General features: G+C 56.6%; 1 protein-coding gene, 1 long non-coding RNA gene and 1 other non-coding gene across 39 annotated transcripts in view, besides 3 other annotated features; 2 read left to right on the plus strand and 1 right to left on the minus strand.

Annotated features, from left to right (window-relative positions):
• Nucleotides 1–1,710, minus strand: part of RNF213-AS1 (RNF213 antisense RNA 1) — a 63,339-nt gene extending 61,629 nt beyond the window's left edge. Inside the window, exon 1 of the long non-coding RNA NR_029376.1 lies at nucleotides 1,471–1,710. This is a non-coding gene — a long non-coding RNA (RNF213 antisense RNA 1). The remainder of the gene's footprint in view (nucleotides 1–1,470) is intronic.
• On the plus strand, nucleotides 1,709–24,628 carry ENDOV (endonuclease V). 37 transcript variants are annotated; one of them, XM_047435812.1, is made up of 12 exons: nucleotides 1,709–2,363; nucleotides 6,089–6,262; nucleotides 6,592–6,815; nucleotides 8,370–8,504; nucleotides 8,748–8,787; nucleotides 10,062–10,174; nucleotides 11,574–11,642; nucleotides 12,001–12,162; nucleotides 14,210–14,392; nucleotides 15,138–15,202; nucleotides 16,315–16,373; nucleotides 16,577–16,913. In XM_047435812.1, exons 4-12 carry the CDS (start codon nucleotides 8,391–8,393, stop codon nucleotides 16,669–16,671), a joined length of 900 nt encoding a protein of 299 aa, XP_047291768.1. In that variant the 5' UTR covers nucleotides 1,709–2,363; nucleotides 6,089–6,262; nucleotides 6,592–6,815; nucleotides 8,370–8,390; the 3' UTR covers nucleotides 16,672–16,913. The 37 variants fall into 37 exon arrangements, 32 of the variants coding, with proteins under 32 accessions (XP_047291768.1, XP_011522960.1, XP_011522968.1 ...); XM_011524658.3 differs by lacking the exons at nucleotides 6,089–6,262; nucleotides 6,592–6,815; nucleotides 16,577–16,913 and adding an exon at nucleotides 22,675–24,628 and having other exon boundaries at nucleotides 1,709–1,792; nucleotides 2,192–2,363; XM_011524666.2 differs by lacking the exons at nucleotides 6,089–6,262; nucleotides 6,592–6,815 and adding an exon at nucleotides 4,353–4,487.
• Nucleotides 2,142–2,231: an enhancer, noted in NCBI's record as "active region_12935". NCBI's record gives its function as "activates an Ori minimal core promoter by ATAC-STARR-seq in GM12878 lymphoblastoid cells {active_cell/tissue: GM12878}" and the evidence as "EXISTENCE:reporter gene assay evidence [ECO:0000049][PMID:35858748]".
• Nucleotides 5,960–6,035, plus strand: MIR4730 (microRNA 4730). The gene has a single exon (NR_039883.1). It is a non-coding gene; the product is annotated as a microRNA 4730 (primary transcript).
• Nucleotides 11,495–11,996: an enhancer, noted in NCBI's record as "H3K4me1 hESC enhancer chr17:78398753-78399254 (GRCh37/hg19 assembly coordinates)". NCBI's record gives its function as "activates a minimal SCP1, AML or CMV promoter by ChIP-STARR-seq in primed H9 embryonic stem cells {active_cell/tissue: H9 hESC(primed)}" and the evidence as "EXISTENCE:reporter gene assay evidence [ECO:0000049][PMID:30033119]".
• Nucleotides 11,997–12,496: an enhancer, noted in NCBI's record as "H3K4me1 hESC enhancer chr17:78399255-78399754 (GRCh37/hg19 assembly coordinates)". NCBI's record gives its function as "activates a minimal SCP1, AML or CMV promoter by ChIP-STARR-seq in primed H9 embryonic stem cells {active_cell/tissue: H9 hESC(primed)}" and the evidence as "EXISTENCE:reporter gene assay evidence [ECO:0000049][PMID:30033119]".
• Nucleotides 24,629–25,112: the final 484 nt, after the last annotated feature.

A 25,112-nucleotide genomic window follows, 5' to 3' on the forward strand; every position in this document is an offset into this window, starting at 1 on the left:
TAAAGCCCTTCTTTAACTCGGTGTCTGAGGGGTTTTGTCTGCGGCTTGTCCTGCTACACTCTGGTGGGAAAGACACCGCAGCAGGGGAGCAGGGTGCGCAGGGTGCAGTGGGTGACGCTCATTCGCTGAAAACTGACCCTGCTTTCAAAGCCTTGTCAGTTCCCAAAGCTGTATGAAGCCTTTCCTGAGCCTCAACCTCTAGAGTCTAATTTCATCCTCTGTATTTTCCCCTTTGTTAGTCCAAACTGCGTCATTTTGTAAGCCCCTTTCCATTTTGTAGACCTTGGTCAAAGTGAAACATTCCACGGGGGTTCGAGCCATGAGAAACAGCCTGCCTCTTAACATATTCTGCTGGGACAAAGCGCCAGGAACACCACATTCTGCCGGAACCACCTCATCCTGGGAACACGTTAACATCTTCCCGGACAGCAAGCCATACTGCCTAGATCCCTCCTGCCCAGGCCTATGAGTACCCCAGCCTGTAATCGCTGGTGGGCTCTGGCATTAAGCTGGCCCCCGACAGGTGTTTGCAATACACCTGTGTTGCTGTAGAGCCGCCCGCGCGCCGGCAATCTCACTGTGCGTCATTCTTTAACCTTCACCTTCCCTTCAAAACCTAACACCCTTGACGTTTATATTCAGGCTATTATATATACATACACACATACACCCTTCTGAATCCTCCCAGGAGAATATAAAACCATGGGTTAAACTGCTACACTTCAGCTTCAGTGGCTGCCTTTCAGTGCTTCAAATACACCAACCTCTTTCCCACCCCGGGACCTGCACGAGAAAGCTGCTCCACTCACCCGCCGTGCTCTTTCACTCACCCTTCAGGTGTCTTCAATATCGCCTCTCAGGCCTTTCCCAACCACCGGTTTAAAGTCGGCTCCCCACAAATAAATACATATTCTCCCTCACAGTACTTCGCACAACACCTGGCACAGCGAGAGCACTGAACCAACACTCATTCAATGAGGAACACGAGGTAAGAACCAAGACCCCCCAAGGTCGCCGTACTTTGTCTGGTAGGAGAAGCTTTCTGCCCAGCAAGGTCCGACCCAGATGAAACCCCGTCCAAGTCTGCAGCACCCCCGTGAGTCCAGCCCGCTAAACTGTGAAGAATTTAAATACACGACACCTGCCCTCAAAAGCTTGAGGGCACCCCTGAGCTGCCATCGAGGTGGGGGCGTCAACGACAGGCGCTCAGTAAGTGCTCCTGAGGCAACTGCCGGGCTGTCCTGGACCTGGTGAATCCTTTCGGGGTTCAGCAAAGGCGGACGCTGACCGGGCCAAGGAGTGGGACCTGCAGTGCTGGACCACCCTTTTCCAAGCGCAGAAGTGCCGTGCCCGCCGGCTCTCAACAGGGCAAGAGGCCCCTCTCGCCGTGCAGAGCGCAGCGCTTGCGGCGGGGACAGCAGAGGCGGGACGGGCGTCACGGAGTTCCCGGGTCCTCGCGCGGTCACTTACCTGGCCTCAGCTATCCGCTGAAAAAGGGGCGGACGGCCTCCCGGGATCCGAGCCGATATCGCGCGCGGCGCCGCGGGGCAACCTGAAGCCGTGTGCGTGCGTGTGCGTTCACGCAGGGGCTCACCCAGCGGCCACGGGCTTCTGAAGACCCGGGTGGGAAGTGCGGCCCGGGAAAGCGCAAGCGTCTCCATGGCAACGAGGGCGGACGGCGTCAGAGCGAGTCGCTTCCGGAAGTGACGTGCGGAAGGGGTGCCCGGGACGAAGCCATGGCCCTGGAGGCGGCGGGAGGGCCGCCGGAGGAAACGCTGTCACTGTGGAAACGGTAATGCTGTCAGGCGACGCGCAGGAGGCGGGGGCCGAGGCCGGGCGGCCCTTCGCGGACCCTCCGAGCTCATAGTCTTCAGGCTGTGGAATCGGAGCTGCCACCGCCCGAGACTCCAAAGCAAAGCCCAGTTTCCGGCGCGGAAGCGGAGGGATCTCAGGAATTGTAGTCCGCGGGGTGGGCGCGGTTCTCGCTTCCGGCCAGTTTGTCTGGCCTGCGCTTGCGCGGGTCTCCGCCGCCTGGGCTCCTAGGGACTGTGGCCTCGGCGGTATGTCCCTTGCTTTCCCTTGAAGCGGGAGAAGACCCGGCAGAGGCGCTCTGTCCGCTGCAGCCGCGCGGGTGGAGGAGGCAGAGTCTGAGGTGTGACCCCGACCAAGTTTGACGCTTCTGTCCTCCTAGGGAGCAAGCTCGGCTGAAGGCCCACGTCGTAGACCGGGACACCGAGGCGTGGCAGCGAGACCCCGCCTTCTCGGGTCTGCAGAGGGTCGGGGGCGTTGACGTGTCCTTCGTGAAAGGGGACAGTGTCCGCGCTTGTGCTTCCCTGGTGGTGCTCAGCTTCCCTGAGCTCGAGGTAACCTGGGAGGACGCCGAGCTCGAGGCGGGCCCCTCGGTGGGCTCGGGCGTGCGGTCTCCGGGACAGGGAGCAGTGCAAGCGTAGAACCCGGCTTCTCGTTTTGTAGGATGTCATTAATAGTCTGGGGAGTTGGCCGGGCGCGGTGGCTCACGCCTGCAATCCCAGCACTTTGGGAGGCTGAGGCGGGGGAATCACCTGAGGTCGGGAGTTCGAGACCAGCCTGACCAACATGGAGAAACCCGGTCTCTACTAAAAATACAAAATTAGACGGGTGTGGTGGCATATACCTGTAATCCCAGCTACTCGGAAGGCTGAGGCGGGAGAATCGCTTGAACCCGGGAGGCGGAGGTTGCGGTGAGCCAACATCACGCCATTGCACTCCAGCCTCGGCAACAAGAGCGAAACTCCATCTCAAAAAAAAAAAAAAAAAAAAAAAGTCTGGGGAGTCTTGGAAGGGAAAAAAAGGCAAAAATTAAGGGAATTCTGTGACTATTAAGAATCAGCTCATGAGCTTTATCTTCAAGTCTGATTGTTATCTTGGGTTCTTCATCTCAGTGACCTGTCCACCACGCTCCCAGTTGCCCAAGCTGGAGATCTGCATCCTCCTGGGCCCCTCCGTTCCTCTCGCGTCCAGTTGCACACTAGCTCGCTTTTATTCTGCCTCTTAAATGTCGCTGGAATCTGTCCCCTTGTCTGTTTCCCCTCTGCTCCTTCCCTGGCTGTGCCACCATCACTCCTGTGGGTTCCTGAGCAGCATTTTCATGGGTGCCCTGGCTCAAATGTTCCTCCTCAGTGGTTTCTTTTCCATACTGCCAGCAGACCAATTTTCCTAAAAAGCAAGTATTTTCCTCAAAAGCAACAAGTCCCCTCCCTCCCTCCCTCCCTCCCTTCCTTCCTTCCTTCCTTCCTCCCTTCCTTCCTCTCTCTGTCTCTCTTTCCTTCCTTTCCCCTTCCCCCACTCTGTGCCCAGGCTGAAGTGCAGTGGCATAATCTTGGCTCACTGTCAAGATCTGATCTCAACCTCCTGGACTCAAGTGATCCTCCCACCTTAGCCTGAGTAGCTAGGACCACAGGTGTGAGCCACTACACCCGGCTTATTTTTTTATTTTTTGTAGAGACAGGATCTCACTATGTTGCCCAGGGTGGTCTCCAGCTCCTGGGCTCAAGGGATCCTCCTACCTTGGCCTCCCCAAGTGCTGAGATTACAGGTGGGAACCACCACACCCAGCCCACAAGTCCTCTTAGAACATTGAAGTGCCCTTCTCATGACCTCATGGTGAATAAAGTTCACTCTGGTTGGCATGGCTTCAAGGCCCGTCATGACCTGTCCCCTGCGTAATTTAATATGACGCTGGAGGCTCAGCCCTCACCACTATTCTCAGTTCTTCCCACCTCCTACAGCCCACTGTGAGTCCCTCACGTGTTTGCTACGCTGTATTTGGCGGCCTGACCTTTGCAGTAATGTTTCTTCTGGAAGGGTTTCCATCTGGCTAACTACTACTCATCTCTTTGGGCTCAGTTTAGACATGACGTCCTCCACTAAGCTCCCTCTCATCCCACAAGACGAGGACTTGTCCCTCAGCACCATGTCTTAGTCCGTTTGGGCTGCTGTAATAGAATACCTTAGACTGGGTGGCCTACCCACAGCAGGAATTTATTTCTCACAGTTCTGGAGGCTGGAGGCTCAAGATCAGGGTGCCAGCGCAATCAGGTTGTGGTGACGGCGCTCTTTCAGGTTGCACAGGGCCAGCTTCTTAACCGTGTTCTCACATGGTGATCCACTCACCTCCCTAGAGGCCCCACCTCGTAATACCATCACCTATGGGTTATAATTTCAACATAGGAATTTGGGGAGGACACCAGCATTTAGACCGTAGCAACCCTCTGCTTCCTCTTGTCTTGCTGGGATGGAACTGGCCTGTCTTCCCTACTGGAATATAAACTCCATGATGGTAGAAACCATGTTGCTTTGCCCACCATGGATAGCATGAGGAAGACGCTGGACTCTTCCTTCAAGAGATACGTGTGTGAATGGACAGTGGGCTCATGATTCACATAAGAGTCAACAGCTCCGGAAGCCTCTTGGCGTCACTCGCATTGCTCCTCTGCTGACTCCCGAAGGTGACAAACGTCTTCCTGCTTCCATGGCTTTGTGCTTTACTTGGGAGGCCCTTTTCAGTCCAAATCAAGCAAAAATGTACTGAGTGCCTACTGTGTGCTAAGATTGGGATATTCAGCAGCCCCTACTCTAAGAGGTCCCCTGGCCATTGTGTAGGCTAGCATAGGGAGTGGGGACACAGTCTTAGGGTCCTGACTACTCATGCTCACACCCAACTCTGCCACTCCCCACTTTGCCCTCTAGGCCTCTGTCTCCTTTTTTCTGACTTGAGGATGATAGTGGTATTAATATCCAGCTCACAGAATTGTGATGAGCAGTACATGAAATGCATGGAAAGCAGTTAACACAGCATTCCCTTCCCCCTCCAACTTCTCCTGGCTGCAAATTAATCACCTCATCTGCATCCTGGGCCTCTTTTGAATGCACATGCTGTTAGAGCGCTTCTCACATTGTATTAAAGTTAGTCATTTATGATTCCATTTTTCCCACTGACTGTAGGTTCTCAAGAGTAGGGTGTACCATATTTCTTTTACAACCCCAGCACCAAGCAAAGCACCTGCTACTTCGTCGGTATTCATTGTTCCGGCTATGAAAGCTTAGACTAGGAAAGGATCTTGGAACAGTCTGGTCCACTGGTTCCTGAATGCCCGACCGTGGACCTGCAGGAGCAGAATCACCCAGAAGTGTGTTGAGAAACAGATTCCGTAGGCACATCCACAGAGACAGAAAGTGGATCCTTGGGCCTTGGAGTTGGGGTGGGATGGATGGGAAGTGACTGCTGATGAGGATGAGGTTTATTTAGGGGTTAAGGAAAATGTTCTAAAGTTAGATTGTAGTGATATTGCACAACTCTGTAAATACCAAAACCATCGCATTATATGTTTTAAACAAGTGAACTTTATGGTATGTTAATTGTATCTCAGTAAACCTGTTAGGAAAAAAAACAGGCCGGGCGCAGTGGTTCATGCCTGTAATCCCAGCACTTTGGGAGGCTGAGGCGGCTGGATCACGAGGTCAGGCGATCGAGACCATCCTGGCTAACACGGTGAAACCCTGTGTCTACTAAAAATACAAAAAAAATCAGCCGGGCATGGTGGCGGGCACCTGTAGTCCCAGCTACTCGGGAGGCTGAGGCAGGAGAATGGCGTGAACCTGGGAGGCGGAGCTTGCAGTGAGCCGAGATCGCGTCAGTGCACTCCAGCCTGAGCAACAGAGCAGGACTCTGTCAAAAAAAAAAAAAAAAAAACAGATTCCAGAGCCCTACCCCACTTACTGGGGGAAAAACTCTCCCAGAGTATAGCATAAGAATCTGCTTTTTAAAATAAGCTTTCCTGTGATTCTGAAGCAGAGCTGGGCTGGAGAACCACTGGCCTGCTTTTCCCACCGTGAAGAACACTGTCCTTAGCATCCCTGACAAACGATGGCGGAGCCCGTTCTGTGCCAGATGCTGAGCCATGGCTGGTGTGTGCTGCTCCGCAGGCCTCTGGCGGAGCCCATTCCATGCCAGATGCTGAGCGATGGCTGGTGTGTGCTGCTCCACAGGCCTGGTGGAGCCTGTTGTGTGCTGGACGCTGAGCAATGGCTAGTGTGTTCTGCTCCGCAGGGAGCTGACTCCTACTTGTCTGTGACTCCCATCGATCAGTTCTGCCTTCAGGTAGCAAAACAGAACGGATCTTCCCTGCCTTCTGCTTGTCAGCCCTTCTGCTGCTGGAAACAGCTGCCTGCTCCTTGACCACACTGTCCCAAGAGGCTGCGATGACGTCCAGCTTCTTCACTGGTCAGTGGCCCTCTGGTCATGCCCTCCGTTCACACAATCCATCTTTCCGTCTGCACTCAGAATCAAATGCAGGAACTTGGATGTGGTCTACCCAAGTCCCTAGACCTAACTGTCACCCACGCCATTTCAGTCGGTGTAGCTGGAAACACTGGTAGCTTTTGAGGGGCACCAGGTCACTGGCTTATGTTGAGATTGCTGGTCATCCAGACCTGCCCCCTACGCTAATCATACAGTGATTTTTCTTTTCCCAGATTTTTAATTTGAAAATGTACATACATCCCCCCAAATTGGAAAAGGATACGTTGGACACCTGTATTCCTTCTACTTAGGTTCAGCTGTTGCTGCTCTGGAATATTCTCTCTCGCGCACATGCGCTCTTTGTGTGCGTGTGTACCGTACATCCCAGCGACTGTGACAGCTCAGAAGACATCAGCAGGCCTGTCCTGAGAATGACATTCTCCTCCACAGCCACAGTGTCATTATCATACTGATTACACATCATAGTCATCCCATAATGTCACCTGAATGATAACATTATGGGAGAGATTCAGATGTAAGCAGCCACGCCCCTCCTGTGGGAACTCAGGCCACACTTGAATTCCACATGTCACTGTGCAAAGTGACTTTTACTCTGTGGGGATGTCAGTGATCCAGCCTGCTGGCTTCTCTGTGAACCCAAATTCTGTTATCAGAATGGACCCTCCCCACTTTGGGTCATGGGCAGATTTGATCAGTTTCCCCATTGAGTCATTGATGAAGATGTTGTGAGAATGATCCCCAACCCTCTGTGCTAATACAGAGCACTCCGTCTGCTTTGGTGTGTTTAATTATTGATCCAGCCACAAGTGAGGAGTGGAAGTTGTGATTTGAAAGCTGTCACCAAGAGATTTGGGGGATTCAGTAACAAAACTGCAGGAAGGTAGACAGGTCTGCAGAATGTGGACATAGTGGGAAACGTCTTCACATTAAGGGCAGTGTGACTAAGGAAAACACAAGGTTAGGAGACTCAGGCCTGCCATGTTGTGCTCTAAACTGCAGCCTCTGCCTCCTGGGTTCAAGCAGTTCTCCTGCCTCAGCCTCCCGAGTAGCTGGGATTACAGGCATGCGCCACCACGCCCAGATAATTTTGTATTTTTAGTAAACACGGGGTTTCTCCATGTTGGTCAGGCTGGTCTTGAACTCCCAACCTCAGGTGATCGTCCGCCTCGGCCTCCCAAAGTGCTGGGATTACAGGCGTGAGCCACCACGCCTGGCCAACACTGTGTCTTCTTTAAGCCTCCAACAACCCATGGAGGGGTGGGGTGGGGCATCGGCTTCAATACACAAAGGAGGAGACACCAGGAAAGCAAGGGGCAGGCAGAGGTGATGCAGCCAGCAGCCTTAGCCTTGCTTCTGATGAAGACCAGGTCCTGGGGGGCTCCCGCGGACCTGATCCCAGGGAATCCTCCTATGGACCAGGTCCCGGAGGCTCCTCCTATGGACTAGATTCCAGGGAATCCTTCTACAGTCTAGGCTTCAGGGGCTCATCCTATGAACTAGATCCCGGGGAATCTTCCTATGGACCGGGTCCCGGGGAATCCTCATACAGACCAGATCCCGGGGAATCCTCCTATGGACCAGGTCCTGGGGGCTCCTCATACAGACCAGATACCAGGGAATCCTCCTATGGACCAGGTCCCAGGGGCTCCTACTATACACATCAGGTCTGGGAGTTGGGGCTCCTCCAGTGGACCGGGTCCGGGGTGGGGGTTCTCATATGGACCGGGTCCCAGGGGGCTGCTGCTATGGACCAGGTCCCGGTGGGGGCGGGGTGGGGGTGCTGTTGCTACAGACCAGGTCCCGGGGGAGCTGCTGCTACGGACCAGGTCCTGGGGGGGTCTGCTCCTATGGACCAGGTCCCGGGGGTACCTGCCCACCACCAATTTGCAGGGTACATCTTCTAGTTCCTTCTTCCAAACCCATCATCTCATAGGTGAGGCAGGGAAGGGGAGCCATGAGGGTGACGTAAGGGAGAGGGAAGGATGAGGGGGGCAGGGCATGGACGGACTGGGGATGGAGCAGGTGGCCGAAGGCTGTGCTTCCCACTGAGCTGCGTGCCTGGTGTCAGGTGGTGTATGAGGAGAGCCGCATGGTCAGCCTCACAGCCCCCTACGTGTCGGGCTTCCTGGCCTTCCGAGAGGTGCCCTTCTTGCTGGAGCTGGTGCAGCAGCTGCGGGAGAAGGAGCCGGGCCTCATGCCCCAGGCAGGTGTCTCATCCCTAGGACGAGAGAAAGGTCCCTCCTTCCCCCTGGGGGAGGGAAGGCTGCTGCAGGTCGCCACCACCACAGTGGCAGGGAGAGACTCATGAGCTTCCTGGAAGAGAGGAATGAGGATTTCTAAAAAGCTGGACCCCAGAGACAGTGCCCCCTTCTTGCCTCAGGGATGGCCCTGTCCTGAGGGCCGAGGGGCAGCTCAGCTGACTGTGACTCTCCCTGTGGCTCCATAGGTCCTTCTTGTGGATGGAAACGGGGTACTCCACCACCGAGGTAATCCTGCTCTTGGAGGTCCAGGGAGGGCACTGTGGGGAAGAGCGGGGGGAGAGGGCACCTCTGTCGTCCCCCACAGAAAATGCTGGGCCCTCGGCCTCTGCCGCCAGCCCCCTCCAATGGCTTCTTTCTCGGCGCAACGGGGACGCGCAGTGCGCTCAGCCCCGCCTCCCCCACCGCCGGTAAAGGACTGTCTACTTTCGCTTCACCCCTTACCTCTTTCCTGTCCGCCACTGCCTTCTCTACAGTGCCCTGTGCTGGCTCATCTCCAGGTGCCACTATCCAGTTCTGACCTGATCACCAAAAGATGTCCCAGGGCCCGGGCTCAGAGTGGCCTTCCCTGCCAGCCGCCCAACCTGCATGGCCCGTCAGGCCCCTTGTCCACAACTAGACAGGTGTACCCAGGCCCCCACTGATGCCAGGAACCTTGGCCTAGGGAGCGTGGCTGAGGGAGATGGGCTCTTTTTTTTTTGAGACGGAGTCTCGCTCTGTCGCCCAGGCTGGAGTGCAGTGGCGCGATCTCGGCTCACTGCAACCTCCGCCTCCCGGGTTCATGCCACTCTCCTGCCTCAGCCTCCTGAGTAGCTGAGACTACAGGTGCCCATCACCACGCCCGGCTAATTTTTTTGTATTTTTAGGAGAGACGGGGTTTCACGTGTTAGCCAGGATGGTCTTGATCTCCTGACCTCGTGATCCGCCTGCCTCGGCCTCCCAAAGTGCTGGGATTTCAGGCGTGAGCCACCGCGCCCGGCCTAGGGAGATGGGCTCTTTTACTGTTACATACAGAGCTGCGGGCGGCGCAGCAGCACCCAGAGAGGGCCCAGGAGGGGTGACATTGGGCCTTCCTGGCCAGCAAGTGTGACTCGGCCCTGGCTGCTGCCCTCGCACATGGGTGCAGAGCCAAAGGGTTGTCATGTGCCGACCCACATGCTCGTGCCAGCGCTGGCAGGCCACCGTCGAGGGAAGAGGAAGCTGGGAGGTGCAGGAAATGACCGGAGAGCTGCAGTATCCCAGCACGCCAGCGAGGTGCTGACCCTGGCACTGACCGTGTCAGAGAGAAGGAGGCTTCCTCCACGGCCTTGCACCCAGGACATCGGGCACAGGGGGCTTTCGCCCAGGTCTGCTTGGGACTTAGATCTGGTTTCCCCAGCCCTCTGCCTGTCCACAGACCTCTGCTCACTTAGGGAAGCTTTTGGTAAGACTGGCTTGTCCTGAATCCCTGTGCCAGGCCCCAGCCCCACCTCCCCAACCCCACCCTCCTTTCTCTCTGGCAGGCTTTGGGGTGGCCTGCCACCTTGGCGTCCTTACAGACCTGCCGTGTGTTGGGGTGGCCAAGAAACTTCTGCAGGTGGATGGGCTGGAGAACAACGCCCTGCACAAGGAGAAGGTGAGGAGGGGCCTGCTGCAGGCCATGCCCGGCAGCTCAGTGGCGGGGCTGTGGTGGCCCTGGGCATGAGGACACTTCTGGACCAGCCCTTGCCTGCTGACGCTGCCCTCCTCATCCCTGGCTTGTGGCCTGGAGTAAGAAAGACCTGCTTTCCTCTGGGTGCTGCATTGCCTGTCTCAGCTGAGGGCGCTCTGAGCTCCTCTCCTGCCTCCTGGGTGTGCCTGCCTCTCTGGTCCCCCTTGCCTCTGAGCCACCGTGGCACACCAAGTAGGGCTAAGTCCTCCAGTTACTGGGGACAGGACGGGCTTCCAGGCTGTCCCGGGCGCACTTGGTGCTTTCCCCACCCCGCCTTGCCCCAGCCCCTGTCTCCTCCCCTGCATGCTCAGGTACCACAGCCTCCAGGCCCCCCTCCCGCCAAGACCTGCCTGGAGCTGCCACCCACACTCTTCCTACCTCACCTTCCCCTGCATCTTCCTCCTCTGGGACCCCATGTTGGCACTGGGAGTGAGACACTCACAATGGAGGGAGCTGTTGACACCCCCAGCTGTTTCACTGGATGGCAGATTCTGAGAGCAGAGACTGTGTCTCTCATTCCTCCTAGCTCTCAGGTGCCTGCATGGAGAAGTTGCTTAATAAAAATCTGTTGAGTTGATGGGGACCTTAGACCCACTCAATGAGCCAGTCCACCGCCGCCAGAAATACCAGCCTGTTGAGCTGTGTCAGATGTGCCCAAAGCAGGAGAGAAGCCACAGGAAGGAAGCGGGCTCAGCACCCATCACTGGGCAGTGGCGGCACCTGTGTGGCTGCCAGCCTGGCACAGCGGCCCTGGGCAGATTGTTGCCCTTGTTCTAAGCCCCATCATCAGGTTTGAACAGGGTCTTGTGGGCAGCACCCTCAGCTCAGGGACAAGACCACTTCACCGCCTGCACGCTCAGTGTCGTCTCAGGTGGTGTGGCTTTGCCTGGGCTGTGGCTCACCTCCAAGATCAGTCCCCTTCCCTTTCCTGGCCCAGTGACTGGGTTTTAAAAATAAAGAGACCTGGGCCGGTTGCGGTGGCTCACTCCTGTAATCCCAGCACTTTGGGAGGCCGAAGTGGGTGGATCACGCGATTAGGAGATCGAGACCATCCTGGCTAGCATGGTGAAACCCCATCTCTACTAAAAATACAAAAAATTAGCCGGGCGTGGTGGCACATGCCTGTAGTCCCAGCTACTCAGGAGGCTGAGGTGGGAGAATCGCTTGAACACGGGAGGCAGAGGTTGCAGTGAGCTGAGATCGCGCCACTGTACTTCAGCCTGGGCAACAGTGCGACACTCCGTCTCAAAAAATAGAGACTTGCCTTCAGCCCTTCACCAAGAAGAGAGGGGTTTTTTTCCCCATTTTTCCCTCCATTTTCCAGATCCGACTCCTGCAGACTCGAGGAGACTCATTCCCTCTGCTGGGAGACTCTGGGACTGTCCTGGGAATGGTGAGTAGCTAGGGCCCTGAGCTCCTCCAAAGCCCCGGGGTAGGGGATCCTTTGCAGGCAGACACAGGTGCATGCAGACACGCGTGCACTCACACTTGCCCACATCAACCCCCCGCCTGCCCGTCCATCCATCCTCCTGCCTCTGACTGAGTCCAGGGTGTGATGTTTGTGTTTCTTTCCTCCAGCCGTGCTGAGGGAGCCCACCCTCCCCCAGGGACAAGCAGCAGGAAGGCGCCCTGAGGGTGGGCAGGCCCTGGCCCCTGAGAGCACTGCCCCTTCAGCTTCCCCCTTGCCCCCAGGACATTTTGTCAGAGCTCCAGCTGCTGAGGCTGTCCTGACCCTGGTCCCGGTGGCCCAGCCCACAGGACAGCCCTCGCCTTCCTTGTCACAGGCCCTGAGGAGCCACGACCGCAGCACCAGGCCCCTCTACATCTCCGTGGGCCACAGGATGAGCCTGGAGGCCGCTGTGCGCCTGACTTGCTGCTGCTGCAGGTTCCGGATCCCAGAGCCCGTGCGCCAGGTGGGTGTGCTGGGGATGCGGGGAGGCAGCACAGGCTCCTCTGCTTCCTGCCACCTGCTGTTCAGGGCTCCCCAGCAGCTCAGCTGGGGTCAGAGTGCAGTGACATGAGGACGGGGGTTCCTGGGCCGAGGACAGGTCACAGACATCTTGCTGGAGAGCTTGCTGGGCCCTGCAGTCAGGACAGTAGACTGGGGGGTGCAGGGCTCCCAAGAGTTCATCCCCAGGCCCTGCACCCCATGCACTCAGCCTCCCAGCCTCTCTGAGCCTCCTGCACCCAGATACAGGCCAGCTTGGAGAATCAGTGATGTTAGCTCAGGTGGTGAGGTGTCCTGCCAGTTCCCAGCCAGCCCCTCAGGTCCCAGAGGGAGCAGCTGAACTTGAGCCAGGAGGCTCCTGCAGGAAAGCTGTGCAGGCCCCAGAGACGCCAGTCTGGGGACTTGGGTATGCCCGCCCCAGGACCCAGCACAAAACTGGTGTTCGGTCCCCCAGGAAGGGTGAGAACTCTGCTGAAGCCATCAGCTCAGCTGAGAAAGGACTCAGCCTGTGGGCCAGGGAGAGACAGCTGGCACGAGATGCCCACAGACAGCCTCGATAGGACCAGGGGACCACAAGACACGGGTGGATGCTGTCCCAGAGAAGCCCACAGAGTGAGGGTTCAAGAAAAGTCAGTCTTAGGAAGAGACCCGCTGGAGGAAGGGGAAGGACAGCCCTGGGCAGGAAGGAGTTTGATGTGCTCAAGAAATGGGGGGCCCGGAGGGTGGCTCACGCCTGTAACCCCAACACTTTGGGAGACAGAGGTGGGAGGATCACTTGAGCCCAGGAGTTTGAGGGCGCCCTAGGCAACATAGACCCCGTCTCTACAAAAAAAACGTAAAAACAAATTAGCCAAGTGTGGTGGTGCGTGCCTGTGGTCTCTGCTACTTAGGAGGCTGAGGCGGGAGGATCACCTGAGCCCAGGAGGTCGAGGCTGTAGTGTGCCCTGATTGGGCCACTGCACTCCAGCCTGGGTGACAGAGCAAGACCTTATCTCAAAAAAACTTTAAAAAACAAAAACTCAGCAGGAAGGTGTGGCCGGAGCCAGATGGCAGTGAAGTACAGAGTGGGTGGGAGCCCGTGAGCATCTTGGGGTGCGCCAGGGTTTCAGACGTCACCCACAGGGACTTGGATGGCTGTGAGTTGGCAGCGGGGCGCCCGCAGATTGGCCTTTTTAGGTGGCCGCTGTGCGTGCTGTGGAGGCTGTGGACGCAGGTCTGCACAAGCCATGCTGCTTCCAGCAGCCCAGCCCCTGAGCCTCCCTGGTGTCTGCCCCTTCCCCATCTTACCCCACCGCTTGCCCTGCAGCCTGCCCTGGGGCAGCCGCAGCACCGGTGGAAAACCCCCAGGCCACCACCTTCGGGCCGGGGCCTTCCGGCTGCTGGCGCGCAGTGTGGCCTCCAGGGGGCAGCAGCAGCCCACATACCACAATGGCCCTCGCCCTGGGGAGCTGTGCTCAGTGGTGGCGTCTGAGAGCGGGCTCCACAGCCTTGCAGGGCTTTGCTCAGGGCACAGGTGTGTGGACTCTCAAGCCTGTGAGCTGTGTCCCCAGCCCCCAGGAAAGAGGCCTTTCTTCCTCCATTCCAACTCAGCCGTGTGGTCTTCCGAGAGAGAACCCAAGAAACTGTCCCCCAGGCCTTCAGCCACAGGAACTTTAGGTCGTGCTGCTGCTGCAGACAGCACAGTTCCTGGAGCTCCTGTACCTTTTTCTGCCTCAGCGCGCCCCAGAGTAGGACAGTGGCCCATCCTTGCAAGGGAGGGGACACCTGGCCTGTGAGTACCTTAAGCATCTAGAAATAGAGCAAGGATCTGTGCCTAGCACCAGCAAAGAGCCTGCCAAATCCTGGGCCCACCCTCCAGAGGAAGGAAAGCCGCAACCAGTTGGGATATGCAGCCACCCCGTACCAGGAGCCCGCAGCTTCTTACTGTTGGGCGTGAGCCGAGGATCGTGTCCTGCAGGGCTGGCTCTGTCTCTCGGTCCATTTTCTTCCTGAGCTCACTCACCTCTCAACAGGTTCACCTCCTGCTCTGTTCCAGAAGGTCCTGGGAGAGCACAGACGGGGTTAGTGTTGGTCTGCTCTCTCCCTGGCTCCGCGCCGGGCCGTCTTGGTGGCCCCATGGTCACAGGCGCTGCGGCGCTCCTGGTTGCCAGGTCCAGGCTCTCCTGCCAGGCCAGGCTGGGCCGCTCCAGGGGAAGGTGAGAGGTGCTGGCCCCGCCTACCGCTGCCCCACTTCCCCCATGAATGGAAGCAGGAGCAGGCTGGGGGATTAGCCGTTGCTTTCCATGAGTCGTGCAGCCCTGAAGCTAATCTAAGCTCATCTGAGCTGGGATCAGGGGGACTTCCCAGGGCCAGACCCCCCATGCCCCCGGGGGTTCCCACTCAGACCTGAGCCCTGTTCAGTGTCCCTCCCTGCTAGGGTCTGCCCCCATCCCAGCCTGTGGCCCACCGCCCTCTTTTATCTTGGTGATTCTGGAGACGGGACAGGGGTTACTGCTGATCTAGTCAGGGAGAGGACAGACCAGCTGGGCTCAGAGCCCCCAGAGAAGCAAGTGTTAGCAGGGAAGCCTCGGCTTGCGCAGAGCCTACAGGGAAGCACAGACTGGAAACCAGTGAAGGCTGAGCAGCTCCAACTGCCACTGGTGGGGAGGAGACCCAGGACCCCCTCACTCAGCCTGTCCACTCACCAGCTACTCAGGCCCTTCAGGGACTGCCCAGCTCGGTTTGAGAGCTGCCATTGCGGGGCTTTGACCCCAAAGTCCCAGGCATGCCTGTCCCACACTCGCTGACAGGGCCGCGGCTCCTGAGCCTGAAGAACTGGCTGTGACCTGTGTGTCCTGAGTGGGCTTCTGTGGGGGATGGAGGCATTGCCAGCAGCAGCTCCTGGTGGGAAACTGGTCTAGAGACCAGCTCAGCACCCAGCAGCACGTCTGTCTCCCCCAGGCTGACATCTGCTCCCGAGAGCACATCCGCAAGTCGCTGGGACTCCCCGGGCCACCCACACCGAGGTGAGCACCCAGGGAGGCTGGGGCACTAAAGGGGCATCTCACAGACACCTGCATGGGCTGTTTCCGGTGGCTCAGCCTCTCCTTGTTGCAATATTGTGGCTCAGGACAGACAGTGCAGGGCCAGGGAAGGCAGGGGACACAGGAGAGGTCTTCAAAGAGGGAGGAGAGTGGAGTGGGGTAGACTCCTATTCTCGTGGGAACTCTCCAGAAACACCACTGCCTCCACGCAAAGCCCTGGAACTACGGCCCTGTCTGGTCCAAGCCCTACCTCCCAATAGGGCTATCCCCAGCCTTCCTCAGTCCACTTAGCCTGTGAGGTACCAGGACGTGGGCTCTGCAGAAAAGGCGTGGCCTCGGAGTCAGACATGATCCAGCCCTGCATAGCCAGCTGTGGCGTTTGCACTCTTCGAGCCTCAGCTTCCTCATCGTCGGGATAGGCTCTGTAATTCTTGTCCCACTGGTTCTTGTAAGTTAGAGTGACAGTGTGCCTGGCACAGTCACCGCTAACAGTGCAAGGCATTGTCTTAAAACCATTGCAGATGGTTTGATCCTGCTAGCAACCTTGATGTGAGACAAGTACTGTGACCCCACTTTACAGATGAGGAGGCTGGGACACTGAGTGTTGATAAGGAGTAAAGCAGAATTCAGTCTGGCTACTTCCTCTTCTCTCAGTGTGGGCAGTTTGGATTCCAGGCCCTGCATCTGAGCCTCCAGGCTGAGAGGACACCCCCACTCCCTAGGCAAAGATCGCAGGAGGCCCCAGGCCTGGGATTCGCCCTGCCCTCGCCCACGATTAGTTACTGAAGGGCTGCGGTTCCTTCGTGCTCATTTTCCCTCTAAGCCAGGGGCTGTTCCCAGGCCTCCCTAGGCTGCTTTGAGAACTGAGGGAGCAGGTGGCGGGGACCCCCCAAGCTCTCCCAGAGTTGGAGGCCGGCCCGCTTGAATGCAAGCTGCGTGTCTGAGCAGCGTGCTCTGCCCTGCCCTCTGCCCTGGGCTGTAGCAGGTCCTGAGTGTCCAGGCCAAGCGCAGTTCCCAGACCCCATCTGGGGTGTGAGGGGGTGTCAGGTAGGCGCTAGCATCTGATGCTGTCCCTTTCTCAATGTCATCACCAGGAGCCCGAAGGCGCAGAGGCCAGTGGCATGCCCCAAAGGAGACTCCGGAGAGTCCTCAGGTGAGGGCCAGCCCCCACAGGACCACAGCCCAGGCCCCAGGACAGCCCCAAGGCCAGGCTCCCAGGAGCAGGCGGGCAAGGACTGGCAGTAGGGTGGAACTGGGCACCATGAAGACAAGAAGGCCACCGGCCACCCCGTTCTGGCCTCAGGACACTGACCACCCCTGGGGGTGGTCTAGGGACTTAGGGGAACCTCATCTCAGCCGCAGGTGGAGCACCCAGTCCCCAAAGACAGGCTGACCGCACCACCCCAGGGGGACGCCGCAGCACAGCCCAGCACCAGGTGGGGCAGAGGTGACCACGGCCCCTCTTTGCTCCGTCATCGGCTGGTCAGCTGTGGTCACGGTGCCTCAGAGGACAGATCTCTATGGGGGCAAGTGCCAGATCCTGAGAGCGCATGAGACGCTTTCCCGGAGCCGACGAAGGGGACTCGGAGCTGCAGCCTGCACGACCCCTGCAGCCTGTGCTTTGCCCACCCCTTTCAATAGATGGAACTTGCTTGCTCTTTTTTATTCTTCTCAGGATTCATTTTTTATTTCACATATTTGTTTGTTTGTTTATTTATTTCCATTGATCTCTTTACCCTGAGGTTTACTTGCAAAATCAGGGTTCATTTTTAAAGCAGGTCCTCAGCCCCAGCCACACTGAACCACCTCTGCCCTGACACGGGAGGGGTCCTAGCTGGGGTAGCTGGGCTTTAGCACCTGCTCACTGCCTGCCATGACCCCTGACCCCAGTCCTGGCCATCCTCCAGCCTGTCCCAGGAAGAGGGAGCAGAGAGCCTCATCTCAGCCTGGAGGGGGCCGAGGACGGGGGCAGCACACGGGCAGTCTGGGCTGTGGGGCAGGAGGCCAGACAGGGTGGCACTGGTGCCTGAGGGGTTGGGTGCCAGGCTCTGTGCCCGGCGGGGGCTAGGATCGGGGGTGGCACCGTCCCCACAGGCTCTGAAAGTTGATCACTGTCCTCTGTCCTTGCCTGCCTTGCCCCAGAGGCACAGCCTCAAAACTGTCTCCACTGTGGGAAAGCAGCCCTAGGCCCCTGTCTGGCCACTTCATCTTCTCTTGGTGTGGGCTAGAGGCGCCAGCTGAGGAGTGGGGGCAAAGGGGATGGCCCACCTGCAGCCCAGCCCCAGCCCCTGGGCACCTTGCAAGCACCCCCCAGCCCTTGACATGCCGGCTGGCCTCCAGATCCCAGGCCCCCTGAGGATGCTGGAATCTGCCACAGAGCATGAAGAAGTCCCTGGAATCCTTTCTTGCCATTCACCTGACCTCTACAAGAAGGGGCCGGTGATCATGATTTGACAGCTTGGGACAAGAATCCAGGGAGGCCGGGTCTCTGGCGCGCCTCCATGCCCCTTCAAGAAGGTGCTATCCTGGTGTTCCTGAGGAGCAGGGCGAGCCTGGGCCTGAGGGAACAGGTACACAGGCAGCAGCACTCAGGGCCGGGGAGTGCTGGCCCCACCCGCCTGCGCTCACTCGAAAGCTGCTTTGGAGGGCTGGGCTGCAGGGGCAGAGGCTCTGGAAAAGAGGCCCAGGCTGTGTAGCTGCCCTTCCTTGATGGAGCAGACTCTATTCTAGAAATTTCTATAAGAAGTAGACTCACTCCAGGACAAGTGGGGCTGGGGGGAGCGGATGCCGAGGGGCTCTGCGGGCACCTTGTGCCTAAAGTCACGGGGGGCACAGGAGAGAGCGGGAACTAGGTGGACTGTTGTGGCTGCCATCCATCGGCAACGCTGGCCGGAACCAGATGAGCAGTGTGGGGCGAGAGGGAGCCCCAGTGCGGCCCCTCAGGCCCTCCATGCTTCAGGGTGTCAGTGGCCCCGGACTGGCCTCACTCAGCCCTGGGCACTTGGGCCTGTCGGGGATCTAGCTTTCAGTGAGGACCCCACCGGTGGACTGAGGCTCCCCTCACCGTGGCAGAGGAATCTCTGCCCTTCCCACCGAAAGGGGCAGGAGCTAGTGGATGGGGACGGCTCACGGCCCTCCCTTTCCACTTGCCTTGGAAAGGGAGAGGCAGCAGACAGGAAGGGCCTTGGAACTCAGGCCAGTGTGGGGAGAGTGTCCCCAGAGAGTCCTTGGGGTGGGAGAGGGGTGGAGTTGACAGCCGGTGAGGCCGGCTTTGAGGTTGTGTGGACCCTGTCTGCCTCTAGCTCAAGTTGGGAGGGGTGTCAGCTGTGGAGCTGTGTGAGCCTCGGGGACAGCCACATGTGGGGTGCAGACCGGTCTAGATGTGCCTGTCTGGTGGGCGCTGAAGGTCCCCTTGGGAGAGTCCAGGGCAGCACCTGATAAGCCGAGAGCTGCAGCCGTGTCCACCTGGAACCTGTTTCCTCACCGGGAACATGAACACCTGCTTCAGAAGCTTTGGGGGTTAAAGGTGGGGATACACATAGGTCTCTTGCCCAGCGGTGGACACTCGGTACACTCCTAATAAATGGGGCATGGGGTGGTGGAGTCCAGCACCTGGCTGGGCCCAGGAATGAGGCATCAGTGGTCGGAGGGAAGGGCGTCTGCCCACCTAGCATCTTTGGCAAGGATCTGCCTCCCAGCACCCCTGTGGAGTCCTGTCTGGATGGGAGGGAGAGCAGGGCCGTGGACAGCCTCCAGAGGTGTTCCCCTGAAACCTCTGAATGTCACCAGCACAAGCAGGCTGGGCTGGGCTCTCCCGGCAGTAACACCAACCGAGCACAGCCGTTGTCCTGGGGCATGCCGTCCAGGTTGGGGGACAGGGAGGCAGAGGTCCCGTGTCATTGCCCGTGAGTCCGGGGCTTAGGCACCGCTCTGGGGACCCCTCATGCTGGCCCCCAGGCCCACTGAGGCATAGGTGAGACCATTGCATGGTCCTTGGAAGAACAGGGCTCCTCAGGCAGGGAGTGGACAGAGCCAATGCTGGCGATGGGGGACCTTGCCTCAAGCAGAGTCGTGGGAGATGGAGTCATGGGGGCGTGTGGGGGTCTAGGCAGGGGAGCTGCTGACTGCAGGTGGCCCAGCAGTACCCAGGTTTCTGCTCGCTCCCATTCCACCTCCCCGAGGGCACTCGTGGGAAAGGGAAACATGGCACCCAGCTGGTGCCTCATTCCACCTACCTCCTGAGTCAAAGGGCTCCACCACCCCAGACACACCCAGAGCCTGGTGTCCAGGATGCCATGTGTGTGCCCCAAGCCAGTAGGACCCTTGGGAGGCTCAGCACCCCCTGCCCCAAACAAATGCCTCTCCCCTCTCCACACTCACTGGCATTCCCACAGAATGCCCTCCTGACTTCTAGAGCTTTCCCTGTCCAGAGCTCCGGGAGCACAGGTGGCAGGGAATTAGAGGCATTAGAAGCACAGTGTGGAAGCTGGGCAGAGCTGGCTGAGATCCCACTGTCTCTTCCAGGCTGGCCTTGAGCAAAGCTCAAAACGCATCCCACAGGGGTCAGTACCTGCCCATGTGGTGGGGGATATTCCACCAGGTGAAGTGTGTAAGGGCTCAGCAGGGAGCCTTGGCACATGGTGAGTCCTTGGTGAGGGAAGGCTGTTGGTTTGGAGAGGTGAGGCCCACAAGGCCGTCAGTCCGCCATGCTGTGCCAACCCCAGTGATGAGAGGATGAAGCCAGGTCAGGGAGGTCTCATCTACCAGGCTCCCACCTGAGCTGGCAGCTCCTCACGCCATCCCAAGCCATCAGAACTCAGGTCCTCGAAGGGAGGCCTGGCTGCCCCCTTCCTCTGGAGCCAGACAGGACCACACCTCCTGCGCCCTGGGGCTTCACTCCAACAGGGGAGCTTCCCAGGGGGCCGGGAGACTCAGAAGAAATGCCCACAACTGCCTGGCATGTGGTAGGCTTTGCACAAAGAGCAGTAGCTTCAACCCCAATGACCCACCTCTGTGAGGGGGGCAGAGATGGCTCTGGGCTCCTCTGGGGCTGGAGGTCAGGCTCTGCTTAAAACCGTTGGTTCCTCAAGGACCATGGGTGTCAGGTGGGCCTCCCCAGCTGAGGGCCTGGCCAGGACCTGGTCAGGGGGTCCTTCATTTTCCCCTCCCCTTGCAAGAAGGAGCAGGCCAGAGCCTGGAGATAAGTTTGCAGACAATTTTTACGTGAGTAGTTTATGTTTGTTTTGAGATAAAAGTCATCATTTCCACTACAACTCATTGACTTTTGGTATATTCACAATCATGTGCAACCATCATTACTGTTTAGTTCCAGAACGGTTTTTTACCCCAAAGGGAAACCCCATATCCATTAGTAGTCACTCCCCGTTCTCCCTTCCCCAGACCCTGGCACCCAGCAAGGGCTTCCTGTCTCTGGACAGGCCTGTTGTGGGCACCATGCCGACGTGGAATCACCGTGTGTCTCTGGACAGGCCTGCTGTGGGCGCCATGCAGGCGTGGAATCACCGTGTAGTCTTTTCTGTCTGGCTTCCTTCTCTTGGCATAATGTTTTCAAGATGCACCTGTGTCGTGCCAGGTGTCAGGACCTCATTCTTCTTTATGGCTGAGTCATATTCCATCATATGGATCAGTATAAACATTTTGTTAATCCTGGTGGATATTTGGGTTTTTTCCATTCAGGGCTTTTGTGAATAATGCTGCAATGAAGACTGATGTACACGCTTTTGTGTAAACATGTTTTCAGTTGCCTTGGGTATATATACCTAGGAGTAGAATTTCTGGGTCATGTGGTGACCCTGTGTTTAACTTTCTGAGAAACTGCCAGACTTTTCCATAGCAGCTACATCAGTTCACATCCCCACCAGCAATGCCCAAGGGTTCCAGGTTCTGCACACCCTCACCACCACTTGCTATTATCTGCCGCTTAGATTCTAGCCATTCCTTGGAGTAGAAACTGGTGTTTCGGCTGGGCACAGTGAGTGGTTCATGCCTGTAATCCCAGCACTTTGGAAGGCTGTGACAGGAGGATCACTTGAGCCCAGGAGTTTGAGACCAGCCTGGGCAACATAGTGAGACCTCATCTCTACAGAAAACTAAAAAATTAACCAGGCATGGTGATGCACTCCTATAATCACAGCTACTCGGGAGGTTGAGGTGGGAGGATCACTTAAGCCCAGGAGGTTGAGGTTGCAGTGAACCGTGATTGTGCCACTGCATTCCAGCCTGGGTGACAATGAGACCCTGCCTCAAAAAAAAAGTGGTATTTCATTGTGCATTTGATTTGCATTTCCTGATGGCTAATGGTGGTGAGCGCCTTCTCATGTCTAGTAACCATTTGTATATCCTCGTGAGCAAAGCATCTATTCAAATCCTTTGCCCATTTTAAAAATTGGGTTGTCATCTTGTTGAGTTGCAGAAGTTCTTTATATGTTCTGAATCCTAGATATTGATCACTTCTTTAGTTTACAAATATTTTTTCCTGTGGGTTGTCATTATTTTCTTGTTAGTGTCCTTTGATGCATGAAAGTTTTTAAATTTGATGAAGTCCATCTATTTTGTTGCTTATGCTTTTGATGTTAGATTTAAGAAGCCATTGACTAATTCAAGGCCATGAAAATTTACACCTACATTTCCTTCTAAGAAATGTATAGTTTTAGTGCTTCTTACCTTTAAGTCTTTGATCCATTTTGACTTAAATTTGTGTATGGTGTAAGGGAGCAGGTCCCATGTCATACCTGTGAGTAGCCAGTTGTCCCAGACCATTTTGCTTTGTTGTTGAGACAGGGTCTCGCTCTGTTGCCAAGACTGGAGTGCAGGGGTGTGATCATGGCTCACTGCAGCCTCGACCTCTTGGGCTCAAGCAATCCTCCTGGCTCAGCCTCCAGAGTAGCTGGGACTACAAGCATGTGCCACCATGCCTGGCTAATTTTTTTTTTTGAGACAGAGTCTCGCTGTGTCGCCCAGGCTGGTGTGCGGTGGCGTGATCTCGGCTCACTGCAAGCTCCGCCTCCCGGGTTCACGCCATTCTCCTGCCTCAGCCTCCTGAGTAGCTGGGACTACAGGCGCCCGCCACCACGCCCAGCTAATTTTTTTTTTTTTTTCAGTAGAGACGGGGTTTCACCGTGTTAGCCAGGATGGTCTCGATCTCCTGACCTCGTGATCCACCTGCCTCAGCCTCCCAAAGTGCTGGGATTACAGGCGTGAGCCATTGTGTCCGGCCTAGTTTTTCAAGATTTTTTTGTAAAGACAGGGTCTCACCATGTTACCCAGGCTGGTCTCCAACTCCTGGGCTCAAGCTTTCCTCCCACCTCGGCCTCCCCAAGTGCTGAGATTACAGGCGCGAGCCACTGCACCTGGCCCATTTCCACTTCCTCCTTTCCACTCTGAACGCCTTTTATTTCTTTTTCTTGCCTCATTGCTCTGGCTGGAACGTCTAGCACTTTGTTGAACGTGGTGGTGAGAGCACACGTCCTCGTCTCATTCCTGATCGAACGCGGTGGTGAGAGCACACGTCCTCGTCTCGTTCCTGATCGAACGCGGTGGTGAGAGCACACATCCTCGTCTCGTTCCTGATCGAACGCGGTGGTGAGAGCACACGTCCTCGTCTCGTTCCTGATCGAACGTGGTGGTGAGAGCACACGTCCTTGTCTTGTTCCTGATCTTAAGGGAACGTTTGCAGTCTTTCACCACTAGATGTGATGTGAGCTGTTAGATTTTCAAGGATGCTCTTCATCCAGCTGAAGACGGTCCCTTCTAGTCCTAATTTGTTAAGTGTTTTTATCCTTAAAGGGTACTGGATTTTGTCAAATGCTTTTCTGGCCTCTATTGAAAAGATCCTGTGTTCTTCTGTGAATATGAGGTGTTACATTGATTGATTTTCATATGTTGAGCCAGTTTCCATTTGTGGAATACATCTAACTCGGTCATGGTGTATAATCCATTTACTCTGCTGCTGAATGTGATTTGCTTGTATTTTGGTGCGGATTTTTACATCTGTATTTATAAGGGATATTGGTCTGGTGTTTTCTTATGATGTCTTCCTTTGGTTTTGATATCAGGATAATATTAGCCTCATAGATTGGGTTAGGAAATGTTCTCTCCTCCGTTTTTTTTGGAAGAGAGAGATTGGTGTTAATTCTTGCTAGAACCTTTGGTAGAATTTGCCAGTAAGCCTATCTGGTCTTGGGTCTTTGGGAGGATTTTGATTCGATTCAATCTATGTATTTGTTATAGATCGTTCGGATTGTCCATCCTTGAGTCAGTTGCTAGCTTGTGTGTTTCTTGGAGTTTTTCCGTTTCGTCCATGTTATCTCATCTGTTGGCATACCGTCGTTCACGGGATTTTATTGATGTGTGTGAGGTCTCTGAGAACGTCCCTGCCTTCACTCCTGCTTTTAGTCACTGGCATCTTCTTTTAACTTGGGCCATCTGGCCGTGCATGGTTTTGGGAGAGTCCTCCTTGACTCTGCAGATGCTGAGCAGTGATCTGGCTGGGAAAGGGGACCAGGAGTGCAGGGCACCTGCTGAGGACTCACCTAAGCCCAAGAGTCAGAGAGTCGGAGCTCCAACCACATCTGCCTGCATGCCTTTCCCAGGCTCTCCCCAGGCGGACAGCCAGCACCCCCTCCCCAAAGACCGGGCAGTTCCTGACCAGCACCCCACCAAGTCCTCAGTAAGGCCTGTCTTTGGGGGAGCAGGGTTTCAGGAGGACAGTGGGGGTGGTGTAGAACTCATGGCTGGCGGTTCCGGGCCTCTCAGGAAGCTTTGCCACTGGGCTTGGGGTTAAGTGGGTGTGGGGCTCCGAACCCTAAATGGGTGAGAGTTGAAATGAAAGCGGCACCTGTAGTCCGTTTGGGGTGCAGGTGTGTGCCAGGGGTCTTCAGCCCCGGCTGATGGCCACATGAACCACATGAGGAGAGGCAGGGCGTGTCAGCAGCAAACCTAAGTGTGTGCTCATTTCTGTGGGCCCTTACTCTGTGACACTGCAGCTCTCCAGAGAGACGCTTTGAAAACAAAACAGGAAAGAACACACGGCCCCGCGTCTGTTGCCTGAGTCACTGTATTCCTTAAAAGGTGAAGGACCCTGGTCCTTGGCTTTTCGTGCACATGAGAAAATGTTGGCCAAGGTTAGCGATTATGCTTCTGTAATCTGTAACCAGAAGTGCTCTTATGCCCAAACCTTGATGTGATTCTGCTGTAATGTAACTTCGGAGCCAGCTGGATGGATGTGACTGTGCAGGTCCTGAGCCCCGGCCCCCGTAACCAAGCAGTGGGCCGAGACACTGAGCCGGGCAGTCAAACAGGAGCTCTCTAAGGCTGCTCCCGGGCTGGGACCTGGGTCTAGGATTCTCAGTAAGACCTTTGAATAAAACTAACTTGAATTCTTCAAAAGCTTGATTTTTTTTCTTCAGTCAAAAGCATCTTGCAGAGATGCCAGCCCACCGTGGGGATGTGCAGTGGCAGCCCTGAGCTGGCCCAGCCCCTTTCCCCAAGGCTGCTCTGGGGAGGGGGGCGGGTTTGGGGGAGTAGAGTGCAGGGGATTGAAGCAGGGGAAACAGGGTGTGAGGGTCAAGGGGGGCTAGAATTGGGGGAGCAGGTTCACGGGCCAGGGGCTGGGCAGGGGTGGGCCTGGGCACCTGGTAGGTGGGGGAGCCCCAACTTCCCATCCCTGCGTCACACGCCCTTCCCCTGCAGGGTGGGGGTCTGCAGGGTTGGCATGTGCCCCCCTGCCCTGTCCCCACCCTACTCCCCGGCGGCAGGCAGAGGGGCGTGCAGGGGGGCCCTAAGTGCAGTGACGTCTCGACTCTGACTCCGACCCACAGAACTTTAAAAATAGGGCCGTGGTAAAGTCCGTCTCTACAGACCACAGCCTGCC

The sequence above is a fragment of the Homo sapiens genome, chromosome 17 (genome assembly GCF_000001405.40).
Source record: "Homo sapiens chromosome 17, GRCh38.p14 Primary Assembly".
Lineage (NCBI taxonomy): Eukaryota > Metazoa > Chordata > Mammalia > Primates > Hominidae > Homo > Homo sapiens.

Excerpts from the sequence above, each read along its gene's own strand:
- ENDOV (XM_011524655.2), top strand. The coding sequence starts at position 1,737 with ATGGCCCTGGAGGCGGCGGGAGGGCCGCCGGAGGAAACGCTGTCACTG. Across the intron at positions 10,175-11,573 it reads ACGCCCTGCACAAGGAGAAG|ATCCGACTCCTGCAGACTCG; the intron begins GTGAGGAGGGGC and ends TCCATTTTCCAG. Across the intron at positions 16,374-16,576 it reads AGACTCCGGAGAGTCCTCAG|CCGCAGGTGGAGCACCCAGT; the intron begins GTGAGGGCCAGC and ends ACCTCATCTCAG.